This window comes from Homo sapiens, chromosome 14 (genome assembly GCF_000001405.40).
Source record: "Homo sapiens chromosome 14, GRCh38.p14 Primary Assembly".
Taxonomy (NCBI): domain Eukaryota; kingdom Metazoa; phylum Chordata; class Mammalia; order Primates; family Hominidae; genus Homo; species Homo sapiens.
This window is the reverse complement of record NC_000014.9, coordinates 90,628,285-90,641,581: the sequence shown is the minus strand read 5'-3', so window position 1 is coordinate 90,641,581 and position 13,297 is coordinate 90,628,285. Positions and strand designations below refer to the sequence as shown.

Sequence of the window (13,297 nt, the reverse complement as noted above, 5' to 3'; positions counted from 1 at the left end):
CCAAGAATACTTTATTAAAAGTTGGGGCCAGATGTAATCAGTGGATCCCATGGTTTCTTCCCAACCTGGCTAAAACATTTCAACACCAACCGAAACAAGATTAAGTGGGCACTTGTTGCAACTGCCATGTAGTATTATCTGTTTGTTTGTGACAAGCTTGTCTGCAGCAGAACTGTAGACTCCCTGAAGCCTGGGAGTGGAGGACATAGCTGATGGGTAGTCAGGCCTTGATGGAGGTGAAACCTTCCCTCCGTGAGGGTCAGCTCTGTCCACCTGTTGGGCAGTTAGTAGAGGAGACAGCTGAAGGCCCTTGGAGGAGCAGCTGGTCCCTCCAGCGTTACATTCCTGTCACCATGAAATGATAAAACTTGCTGTTTAAGTACTTTGAATAAGCTTAACAGGGTCCAAAAAGTTCTAAGCTGAGAGGTACCATCTCAGCCACTTTGTCACTCCAAGCAGGGCTGAGACAACAGTAGAATCAACAATTGAGAAGATGTTTCTAACCGTAGGGATTTGTGAGAATCAGGAATTCTTTCTTCAGGGAACCCCCAAAATAGGCTCACTACTCTGGAGAAGCAGGCATTTTTGGAAGTGTTATAGGGTTAGTCCAGTATGGAAGGAAAGGAACGAGGAAGGCTTTTTTTGTAGTGGTTGAGAGTGCAGTCTTACAATGGGACAAGTTGAGTTTAGGACTCCAGATCCTTCACTTTTAAGTTGTGTGACCTTGAGCAAGTCACTAAATCTCTCTGAGTCTCATTTCCTCATCTACAAAATGTGAATAATAAAATATCCATCTCAGACAGTTGTGGTCAGAATTGATTTAGCTGGTGCATTTGAGGCATTGTACCTGGTAATCACGTAATAATTGGTAGAAACTCATATTACTATGACTATTACTACCAATACTACTGAAGTATGTTCAAATATGGTATTTTAGAATCCTTTAGAATTGTTCTTAAATATGGAATAAAATCAAATGAATGTTTATTAAATATATCTAAAATCATACAATGAACATATGTGTTTGCCTATTCGTAGTTTAGAAAAAAGAACATTAATATTACCTGTGAATTTCCTGTGTAGATTTATTTATACATATATACTTACACGTATCTTAAACATGTGTATGTATTTCCTAGGTATATGGATTTTTCGTGTAATATTGCCAATGATTTTTCTCTGTATCCTGTCCTTTTGCCTGTCACCTGACAGGTTAATGACCATTCTAAATTCTATGTTAATCATTCTCTCATGTTTCTATACCATGTATATTGTGCTTTTTCTTTCTCTCTCTCTTTTTTTTTTGTTTTGAGACAGGGCCTCACTCTGTCACCCAGGCTGGAGTGCAGTGGTACAGTCACAGCTCACTGCATTCTCAAACTCCCAGCTCAATGGATCCTTCAGCCTCCCGAGTAGCTGGGAGCACAGGCGTGTGCCACCATACCCAGCTCATTTTTGTATTTTTTGTAGTGATGGGGTTTCACCACGTTGGCCAGGCTGGGCTCAAACTCCTGAGCTCAAGCGATCCATGCGCCTCGGCCTCCCAAAGTGCTGGGATTACAGGCCTGAGCTACCGCACCCGGCGTGTACTCCTAAATAATAAAAATTGTGTTTTGCCTGTTTTAAACTTTTGGTAGAAAATGGAATCAGACTGAATATGTCCTTATGCTGCTTGCGTTCATTGCTTAACATCCCGTTCCTGAGGCTCCTCCTTGTTGCACGCAGCAGTGACTCTTTGGTTTGCATGAATGAATAGTATTTATTGTGTAAATGCACTAAGATTTCCTTACTTAGTCTACTGTGAATAGATACGTGGGTTGTTTTCAGGTTTTAGCTATTATGAACAGTGCTTGTAAATCTTCTTTACAGGGCTCCTGGTGCACACGTTCAAGGATTTCTCTATGAGTGAAATAGTTAGGTCGTAGGATTTGTGTATCTTCAACTTTACCAAATAATTCCAAACTGTTTTTCAAAGGGGTTGTATTAGTTTACACTCCCATCAGCAGCGCTCAAGAGCCCTGTGGTTCCATACACCAATACTTGGTGCTGCCCGACTTCATATTTTTGGCAGAATGGTTGCTGGTTAATGATGTCACCTTGTGAGTTTAAGTTGCGCATCCCTCATTACTAATGAGTTTGGACATCTTTTTATTTGTCTATTGGTCATTCACCTTTTCTCTTTTGTGAAGTGTATGTGAAATTCCTTCTTTTTTATTGGATGGTCTTTTCCTTAATAATATTTCTTTATGTATTTTGGTTACAAGTCTTTTTCTTAGTTATATGTGTTGCAGAAATCTTCTCCCAAGCTGTGATTTTGTTTTGCTTTCTCTTCATGATGTCTTTTGATAAACAGAAGTTCTTAATTTTAAAGTAATAGAAAGTAGAAGTCGTTTCCTTTATGGACAGTACTTTCTATGTCTAGTTGAAGAAACCTTTCCCTTCTCCAAGATCATGAAGGTAGTCTCCTAAATCATCTTCTAAAAGCTCTCTTGTGCTATCTTTCACACTGAAACCTAAGGGCCCACCTAGAATGGACTGTTTTATGTGTGTATGGTATGAGCCAGCCAATGTGATTTTCCCCATAGGATATTCAATTGTCCCAGCATCAAACGCTGAAAAGATTCTTTGCCCTGTTGCTCCACAGTTCCACCTTTGTCATCAACCAAATGTCCGCAGTTGTTTCTAAGTTTCCTGTTTTGTTCCATTGGCCATCGTGCCAGTCCCATGTGATTGCCACTGTCTTGTCACTGTCATAGCTTCATTATATGTAAGGTGGGTCCCTCTCTGTATCCTGCTCTTTAGGTTGCCATGGCTTGTCTTGGGCCTTTGAACTTTCACATAAATTTTCAAATCAGCTCGTCCAGTTCCACAGAAAACTTCTGGAGATTTTGGAATTAGTTTAATTTAATAGCTTAGTTTGGGGAGAATTGTATATTTATGACAGTAGGTTTTCTAATCCATAGCCATTATAGCTCCCTAATTATTTAGGCCTTTACAAGTATTTTTGGATGTTTTTATAATTTTTTAATAAATATTTTGCCCATTTTTTACTAGACTTATTTCTAGTTACCTGAAAAAATTTTTCATGCTTTTATATGCACTATTGTATACAGAATATTTTTGTAATCAAATTTACTATGTACTTGTTGCGAAGGTATAGAAAGGTAACTGGTTTTTGCACATTCTTCTTGACCCAGCTAAATTCTTAATAAGTCTAATGACATATATAACTCAGTTTGGAATTTCTACATACATAATGACTTTTTTTCTGAGGTGATTAAAATTGTTTCTTTTTCTCTAATCTTTCCATTTTTTTAACTTGTCTTACTGTACTAGTTAGGACCTAGTAGTTAAATGAGAAAATTCTTTCAATGTTTTACCATTAAGAATTACATTTAGCTGGGTGCAGTGGTCCACGCCTGTAATGCCAGCACTTTGAGAGGCTAAGGCAGGAGGATCGCTTGAGCTCAGGAGTTCAAGACCAGCCTGGGCAACATTGTGAGACCCCATCTCTAGATAAAAAAAAAAAAAGGGTAGCCAGATGTGATGGCGTGTACCTGTGGTCCCAGCCACTCAGAAGGCTGACGTGGGAGGATCAGTTGAGCCCAGGAAGTCAAGGCTGCACCACTACACTCCAGCCTGGGCAACAGAGCGAGGCCCTGCCTCAGAAAAAAAGAATTGTGCTTGTTACAGGTTTGTTTGTAGGTACTATTTAAGAGATTAAAGAAGTTTCCTTCTTCCTGGTTTATTAAGAGTTGTTTTGTTAATGATGAAACGATAGCAGATTTTATCAAATGCCTTTTCTATATCTATTGAGATGATTATATGACTTTATTCCTTTCATCTATGAATGTTATATATTAATTTATATTTTTAAATGTTAAACTCACCTTGTATACTTGGAATAAGCCCAACTTGATTGTGATAAATTAGCTTTTTTATGGATTCACTTTACTTATTTTTTAGAGAACTTCGCGTTTGTGTACATTTGCAAAATAGGCCTATTCTTTTCCTTTCTCCTTCTGTTCTTGCCAGATTTTGGCATCAAGGTCAGCCCAGCCTCATAAAGTGAGTTGGAGTAGTACTTTTTCTTTTTGCATGTTTTGGAATTATTTGTTCTGAGAATATTAAGTTTTGGTAGAATGCATCTGTAAAACCATGTGGGGCTGGGGGGGGGTTTTTCTCTGTGGGAAGATTTCTGATGCTTTTTAAAAATAATTATAGTCTATTCAGGTCTTCTATTTCTTTTTTTTTATTAAGCTATGTATAATGTATAAGCTGTAATTATATTATATGTAAGGATTTGTCCATTTCATCTAAATTTTAAATTTTATTGGCATAAGATAATTCATAATGTTTATTTTTCATATGGCATTTGTTGGTTAAGTTTTTTTCAATTCTAATATTGTTTAATGCACCTTATTTCTTTTCTTGAATAGTCTTGCCAGATACTTGTCTGTTACATGGATCCTTTCAAACAACCAGTAACTTTTTTGTCAACTCACTTGTGGGTTTACTTTCTCTTTCATGAATTTCTGTTCTCATTTTCATTATTTTCTATCTTCTGTTTTCTCTAAGTTCTGTCTTGTTGTATTTTGGGTTTTTTTTTTTTCTTAATCTCTTAGTTGGGTGTTCATTCATTTTTTGCCTTATTTTCTGACATAAGCATTTAAGACTAAAAATTTTCCTCTAAATGCTGCTGTAGCTGTAAACTACAAGTTTCAATATTTGAAATTTTTATTATTGTATAATTCTAAATATTTTGAAATTTCTGTTATTTTCTTTTTGATCCATTAGTTGTCTTTGAACTGTGTTTTACAATTGTCAAATATGAGTTTTTTCAACTTATCTTTTGTTATGAGCTTTTAACTTCATTAAATTATGTTTAAAGACTATATATACATTTGAAATTGGTCGAACTTATTTTGTGGCCCAGTGGTTACTTCTTGTAAATATTCCATGTGTGCCTGAAAAGAATGTTTTCTGCATTTGTTGAGGAAATTTTTATATGTTTTATTAGTTTGAGTTGTTAATTATGCTATCAGAGCTTTTTTGTTTTTATAGAGGTTTTTTCTACTTTATCATTTGTTGAGAGGAGGTATGTTGAAATCTACCACTGGGATGGCGGATTGGCTTTTTTTTTTTTTTTTTTTTACCACATCGTTATAGCAGTTTTTCCTTTCTATATTTTAAAGCTGTGCTATTAGTTGCATATAAATTTAGAGTTGCTGTGTATTATGGTACATTCAACCTTTTATGATTATGTTGTAAGATACAAGGCATTTTGCTTCAAAGTCTATTTTGTATGATATACATATGGCCACATACATATATATGTGTAGCCATATATCTGTACATATATGTGTGTGCATGTGTGTGAGTATACACACATGTATACATATACACATATATAGACTTGGACTATCATTTTCCATTCTTTTTGAACTTTTTTTTTTTTTTTGAGATGGAGTCTCACTCTGTTGCCCAGGCTGTAGTGCAGAGGCACAATCTCAGCTCACTGCAACCTCTGCCTCCTGGGTTCAAGTGAGTCTCCTGCCTCAGCCTCCTGAGTACTTGGGATTACAGGTGCGCACCACCACACCCAGCTAATTTTTGTATTTTTTAGTAGAGACGGGGTTTCACCATGTTGGCCAGGCTGGTCTCGAACTCCTGACCTCAAGAGATCTGCCTGCCTCGGCCTCCCAAAGTGCTGGGATTACAGACGTGAGCCACCGCACTCGGCCACTTTTTGAATTTTTAAAATACGTTTTGGATGTACTCTTCTGCTTATTATATATAGATAATTTTTTTTTTTTTTTTTTGAGACAGAGTCTGACTCTGTCGCCCAGGCTGGAGTGCAGTGGCGCAATCTCGGCTCACTGAAAGCTCTGCCTCCTGGGTTCACGCCATCCTCCTGCCTCAGCCTCCCAAGTAGCTGGGACTACAGGTGTCCACCACCATACCTGGCTAATTTTTTGTATTTTTAGTAGAGATGGGGTTTCACTGTGTTAGCCAGGATGGTCTCGATCTCCTGATCTCATGATCCTCCCACCTCGGCCTCCCAAAGTGCTGGGATTACAGGCGTGAACCACTGCGCCCGGCCTATATATACTGATAATTTTTTAAAACCCAGGCTTATGGTATCTGGAATATTTAGTTCATTTCTATTTATTGTAAATACTGACATATTTATATTTGTGTCTACCATGCTATTTATGCTTTCTATTTGACTTGCCTCTTGTTCCATATCGTATCCTCTCCTTTTCTGCTTTCTTTTAGATCGATTATATTTTTATGATACATTTTTTCTCTGCTAATATGGAAAAGAAACATTCTCTTTTAGCTCTTCTTCTTTAGTGATTACCCAAGAAATTTTAGTGAGGGTCTATTGCTGGCAGACTTTCTTAGACTGTATCTAAAAGTGTACTTGGCATTGCTGTCCAAAGAAGTTTTTCAAATTGGATGTACAATTCTAGGCTCAAACATTTTCTCACAAATAGTTGACTCCTCAATGACAAAAGGAGCACAAGTGATCTTGCTCCTTTTGTAGTTGTTAAGAAGTCAACTATTTGTTTACTTGTAGTTCATTTTAACGTCCTCTGTCTTTTCTCTCTGGCTGCTTATAATTGCTGTTGTTACTGCTATTGTACACTTTTGCTATGACACATCTAGGGGTGAATCCTGTTCAGTATTCACTGGGCTGTTTAAAACTGTATTGGTATTGTTTGTATTATTTATCATTTCCAAGAAGTTCCCAGCTATTCTTTCTTCATATATTACTTCTCTTCTTTTTTGTTTTGTTTTGTTTTTTTGAGACAGTCTTGTTCTGTCTCCCAGGCTGGTGTGCAGTGGCATGATCTCAGCTCACTGCAACCTCTGCCTCTCGGGTTCAAGCGATTCTTGTGCCTCGACCGCCCGAGTAGGTGGGACTACAGGCACATGTCACCACACCTGGCTAATTTTTGTATTTTTAGTATAGACGGGGTTTTGCCATGTTGGCCGGGCTGGTCTTGAACTCCTGACCTCAGGTGATTCACCCGCCACAGCCTCCCACAATACTGGGATTACAGGCCTGACCCACCCCACCCGGCCTCCCTCTCTTCTTATATAATAAATAGCAGATAGGTCTTTTTTTTTTTACTTAGTCTGATAACCTCTGCCTTCTGTCTCAAGTGTTTGGTCCATTCACATTTAATATAATTAATGCTATGGCTGGATTCACATCTGCCATTTTCATGTGTCTTGTCGTTTTGTTGCTCCTCTTAATCTGCCTTCTTTTTGTTGAAAAATTATTTTTTAAACCCCTGAACTATTAAATATCTAAACAAAAGGATGAAAAGTTAATGTTAACTGATTATGTAATAATTATCTCGACACACTGTAAGTTTGGGAAAAATTAACAATGGGCCAGGCGCGGTGGCTCATGCCTATAGTCCCAGCACTTTGGGAGGCCGAGGCAGGTGGATCACCTGAGGTCAGGAGTTTAAGACCAGCCTGAACAACATGGCAAAACCCCTTGTCTGCTAAAAATACAAAAATTATCCAGGCATGTTGGTGCATGCCTGTAATCCCAGCTACTCGGGAGTAGCTGAAGCAGGAGAATCACTTGAACCTGGGAGGCGGAGGTTGCAATGAGCTGAGACCGCGCCACTGCACTCCAGCCTGGGTCACAGAGCAAGACTCCGTCCCCACTCCCGAAAAAAAAAAAAATTAACAAAGTACACATTTTTATACTGAAAGGTGTTCATGAATTCCGATGGATTCAGTGGTTTCACTATCTATTAAATTTGCCACAAGAGCCCTGATTTTTCATCTTTTGCAGTACAGCTTTGTAGAAATTTCCCTTCATTAATACATTTTACTTAGTAATTTTCCTCATTGGCCCAAAAAGGTAGAAGGTAACAGGTGATATTTGGAGTACATAATTGTCTCTCCCAATGGCAATGAGGCACTGTTGGTCGAGAGCTTTGATCAGGCCCTCAGACTGTGTTTCTGCTGTTGAAATTCATTTGTAGAAAAAAATATCAGGTTAAGAACTGACAGTTTGTTGTTTTTTGTCTTTGGAATATATATTAGATAGTATCATACTTTTATGGTGGGATTTAAGAACTTCAGTGTTACTGAAAGGTTGCATTCTCATTCAGCAAGCCTTACAATGGCCGCTAAGGAAAGCCACTGCCAGAATTTAACTTTCTTGCCCTGAGACAATTGTGGTTATGCAATTCTTCCATAGATTTTTAATTGATTTGAATTTTTATTGTTTCCTATTTAAATAGAACATATACTCACTCCTATTCATGTGCTCCCAGAGAGGTTATCAAATCAATAGCACACTTAAGAAAACATCAGATGTCACCACAAAGCAAACCTCTCAAGATTACTAATATAAGTATGTGATCATGATGCTGTATGCACAAGTGTTTGAAGTGTTTTCTCTGACCCATAACTATAAGACATCAGATGATATTGAGACACACCCTCAGTCACCTGATTGGAGGCACAGAGGTCTTCTAGAACACTTCTGTCCGTGGCCTCAGCTCTTATACATGTCAACACAGATTTTATCAGACAGTCACATTTCTTTTTACATCAGTGGAAACTAACTGTATGGGAAGAAGTGAACATATATAACATTCATTCATTTAATCAGTCATTCTTTCAGCATTAGTAACCACTAATGTTTATACCCCGCATTGTGACAGGCACTCTTAATAACACTTTACACATTTTTAACTAATCCTTGCAAGAACTATCTATGGTGGGTAGTTTTGTTATTATTTTCATTTTGTAGATAAGGAAACTGAGGCACAGAGAATTTAAGTAATTTGTCCAAGATTATACACCTGGAAAAAGGCAGAGCCATGATTTCAACCCAGGCAATCTGGCCTCGCCATCTGTGCTCGTAACCACGAACTGACTTTGAAGCATTGAGTTTCTACCACATGCCAGGGGCCATGCTAGATGTTGGGGATTACTGCTGTGAACAAGTCAGTTTCTGCTCCATTAGAGCTTATAACCCAGATGAGCAGGAGTTTTATGCTATCTCCCCTGTTAACCTGGAATCAAAAAACTAGGAAACATAGTTATAATCATTCTTTACTTGAGTGGAGTATACATATAATTTTTTTTTAAATCATTACTTGGCAAGTGAGACTAATGTTTCTTTTTCACTCGGGCACACACACACATACTCTCAGAGAAGTTCAGTTTAAGTTGAAACATCATATTGAATAATGTTTTGATTTAGTGATTAAAACAATTTTGGTGATTTAAATTGACCAGGGGTTGTGGGCAAATTTTTTGCCTGAGCTGAGTGATGAAGCAATGAACATGCCCACTAAATTAGCATTTGATAAGAAGTTAGACCACAAGGAAAGAGGCTGTTCATCTCATTAAACTAGAGAAATGATCCACTGATACCTGAAGGATGTCTGGAAGGAGTGAGCACACAGTAACCACCCCAGGGATACCAGTAGGGAGGGAGGCCTTTGGACACAGGCGAGTTGGTGGCAGCCTGGAAGACAACAGGGGTCACAATGGAGTGGGACTTAGTGGTGCAGTAGCTTATTTAAAATCAACTTTCCACAACCCTAACAAAACGAAACAAAACCCCATCCCCTTTAGGAAATGGGCAAAGGAAAGGAGTTGCATAGATGTTTCTCCAAAGAAGATATACAAATAGCCAATAAGCACATGAAAAGAGTCTCTACATCACTAACCATTAGGGAAATGCAAATCAAAACCACAATGAGATACCACTTCATACCCAGTAGGATGGATTTTATCAAAAAAACAAAGTCACAAGTGTTGACAAGGATGTAGAGAAATAGGAACCCTTGTGCATTGCTAGTGGGAATATAAAATGGTGCAGACTCAGGCTGGGCAGGGTGGCTCATGCCTGTAATCCCAGCACTTTGGGAGGCTGAGATGGGCAGATCACAAAGTCAGGAGTTCGAGACCAGCTTGGCCAACAAAGTGAAACCCCGTCTCTACTAAAAATAAAAAATTAGCCGGGTGTGGTAACATGTGCCTGTAGTCTCAGCTTCTCGGGTGGCTAAGGCAGAAGAATCGCTTGAACCTGGGAGGCGGAGGTTTCAGTGAGTTGAGACCATGCCACTGTACTCCAGCCTGGGTGACAGAGCGAGAATCTGTCTCAAAAAAAAAAAAAAAAAATTGGTGCAGACGCTATGGAAAACAGTATGGTGGTTCCTCAAAACATTAAAAATAGAATTATCATGTGATCCAGCAGTCCCACTTCTGGGTGTCTGCCCAAAAGAATTGAAAACAGGGACTTGAACAGATCTATACACCCGTGTTCACAGCAGCATAATTCTCAATAGCCAAAAGGTGGGAACAAGCCAAGTGCCTATCAATGAATGAATGGTTAAACAAAATGAGGTTTACACATATAATGGAATATTTTATTCAGCCTTAAGAAGGAAGGACATGGCTGGGTGCAGTGGCTCACGCCTGTAATCCCAACACTTTGGGAGGCCAAGGCAGGCAGATCACAAGGTCAGGAGATCGAGACCATCCTAGCTAACACAGTGAAACCCCGTCTCTACTAAAAATACAAAAAATTAGCTGGGCGTGGTGGCAGGCGCCTGTAATCCCAGCTACTCGGGAGGCTGAGGCAGGAGAATGGCGTGAAGCCAGGAGGCAGAGCTTGCAGTGAGCCGAGATCATGCCACTGCACTCCAGCCTGGGCAATAGAGTGAGACTCCATCTCAAAAAAAAAAAAAACAAAAAACAAGATAGAAGGACATTCTGATGGATGTACCAACATAGATGAAAATTGAGGACATTATGCTAAGTGCAATAAGCCAGTCACAAAAGGACAAATAATGTGTGACTCTACTCATATGAGGTACGTGGAGTAGTCAAACTCATAGAGACAGAAAGTAGAATGGTGGTTGCCAGGGCTGGGAGGGGGAATGGGAAGCTATTGTTCAGTGGGTGCGGTTTCAGTTTTGCAACACGAATAGAGTACTGGAAATGGAGGCTGGTGATGGTTGCACAACAGTGTGAATGTACACAATGCCACTAAACTGTACGCTTAAAAATAGCTCATTAGCAAATTTTATGTTACGTATATTTTACTACATTTTAAAGAAACGAAACTTTCTGAGCTCCCTTTGTTAACATGTGTGGCTGCAGGAGGGTTTCCAGCATTCGTAGATGACAAGGGACCCTTCTGCTCTTGAGATTCTCCGGCTCTGCATCACGGAGCCAATGTTCTTCTGGGATGGACTTGCTGAGCCACGGAAGCAGCCTCCCAGCACCCCACGCGCATGGATGTCCTCTTTCTGTGAGGCTTTGGCTCTGTGCTGTTGCCTTCACTAAACATAGATGCTTGTCAAGAGGGACAAAATCCCCCAAATGCAATGAAAAATTGTCTGGAAACTGAAGATTTGGTTTATGAGGCAAAAGTAGAAGAACTGGAAGAGGGGAAATGGCAGGAAAATGTATTTGAAGCCACGTTTGTTTATGAGAGGATCCTCCTTTCTCCGGGGTTGGAGACAGCCATGTCCTGAGATTAGGAGTGGTGCTGGCCCAAACCCCTCCCCCCATTTTCACAACCAGTACTAGGCTTGCATATGACTGGTGTCCCCCAGTTTAAATCCTCATGGGATATTCTGCTTCCTTTCCAGGGAAGTTCCCTTTTCTAGTTTTTTTTCCAAAGATGCTGGAGAACCAGCCTTCAGGGCATCCCAGCCTCCCTGTCAGCCACAGGAGAGAGCACTGGCTGACCGCCGGGGGCTCAGAAAGCCGAGCAGCTGGGAGAGGCGAGGCTGGGCCAGGAGGGGCACCATGGTGAGGCCCACACCAAAGCCACTCCCCGCGAGTCATGGCATCCAGAAGGTTTATTTATTTTTGTGCTTTTCTTTCCAAGATCTCCAAGTTCTCCCCATATCTCATTCAACAATTCAGAGTATGGGAGTGTCCTCTTGAGACTTCTTGCAGGTGTTTCCTGGAAACCTCTGGCTCCCCAGCACCTGGCCCCGGGCTGCCTGCTACAAACATTAATACCTGTCTGTGCAATGCATGCTTGAAACTTTGTCCGTGCAGAGTAGCCTGGTAGCTCTTCGTTCATAGCTAAGCTTGTGTCTGCCTGTGTTTCATCTGTTATCCATTTTGATTTCTACTCTGCCAAGTTTCACTGTCTGATAAAATGATGGCCATACTTTCTGCAAATGGGCGGTATAAGGTGCTTGCTGGTTACCCAGCCAGCTGTGAAAAAAAATCAGATATTCCAAACACAATTGAATTCTAGTTCATTTGTAATGGTTGCATTTTAAAGTAAGGAAAGTTTACTATTTAAAAAAAAAGAAAAAAAAAGGAACCTGAGAACAGGGAAGAGAAATGAGAGAATCTCCAAATTTATCCTATAAGTATTCTTGTGGGGATCCTGAGCTGAAAACAACTGGGGAGAATTGATAAGCCACCTTCAGATGATCAGATTCACTGTCCTTTGAACACCTCCCCCAGTTCATGGGTAGAGAGCGCCTGCTTTCAGCCAGGCATGGTGCCAGGCTCAGGAGGGCCAAGGCCGGAGATGGCACCATCCCAGTCTTCACGCAGCACACAGTGAGATGTGGAGGCAGAATCACGCTGGAGCGTGCTATGCCTCCGAAGAATCGCTCACCTTCAGGGAGGAGGGCTGTCTGTTTCTGAGCTCTAGGCCAGGCATGGACAAAAGTGCTGCCTTCAGTGTCCCTTGGCACAGTGGAATCAAGCCATGCGAAACCAAACAGCCCCTCATGGAAACACACAGGAAATGAAGGCAGAGAAGGCAGGAAATGTAAAACAGGCCAGGATTCACAGGAGCAGCTGATTGATGCAAGGATGCGCGGTCCCATGTGGCCCTGGAGCCCAGAGAGACACATCATCCACCTCTGGTCCTGGAGAGCCGCTTGAGCTTCCCAGTGCCCTGCCAGGCCCCTTCCTTCCTAGTTCCCTCCTGACTGTGCAGAAGGCGCCATTTCTATATCACAGAGCTTCATGGATCAAGTCCATATCACACTGTGGCCCAGGCCCTTCCCCTTCTAGGTCTAGGTGGTGGGATTCCCATTCTTCTGGCATCTGCCGTTGTCTGCTGAACTGGGTCCCAATGTCTCATTTCTTCACTGTGCTCCCCTCCTCAAACTGGGTCATGTGGAGAAATCAGGGCCTTGGGGGCTCAGCCAGAAATAAAGACCGAGAGATCCTCCAGAGAGAAGGTCCTCTAGGAGAGGAAGGGTGGCAGAACAGAAGAGGCCCGGGACTTGCTTCCCAAATGTCAGAAATTACCAAAAAG

The 13,297-nt window shown here is 40.7% G+C and overlaps 1 protein-coding gene across 3 annotated transcripts in view, besides 1 other annotated feature; it reads left to right on the top strand.

Annotated features, from left to right (window-relative positions):
• The window catches only part of TTC7B (tetratricopeptide repeat domain 7B), a 291,867-nt gene that overhangs the window by 174,849 nt on the left and 103,721 nt on the right, over nucleotides 1–13,297 (top strand). The gene's annotated exons all lie outside the window — the stretch shown is intronic.
• Nucleotides 1,518–2,032: an enhancer, noted in NCBI's record as "H3K27ac-H3K4me1 hESC enhancer chr14:91105894-91106408 (GRCh37/hg19 assembly coordinates)". NCBI's record gives its function as "activates a minimal SCP1, AML or CMV promoter by ChIP-STARR-seq in primed H9 embryonic stem cells {active_cell/tissue: H9 hESC(primed)}" and the evidence as "EXISTENCE:reporter gene assay evidence [ECO:0000049][PMID:30033119]".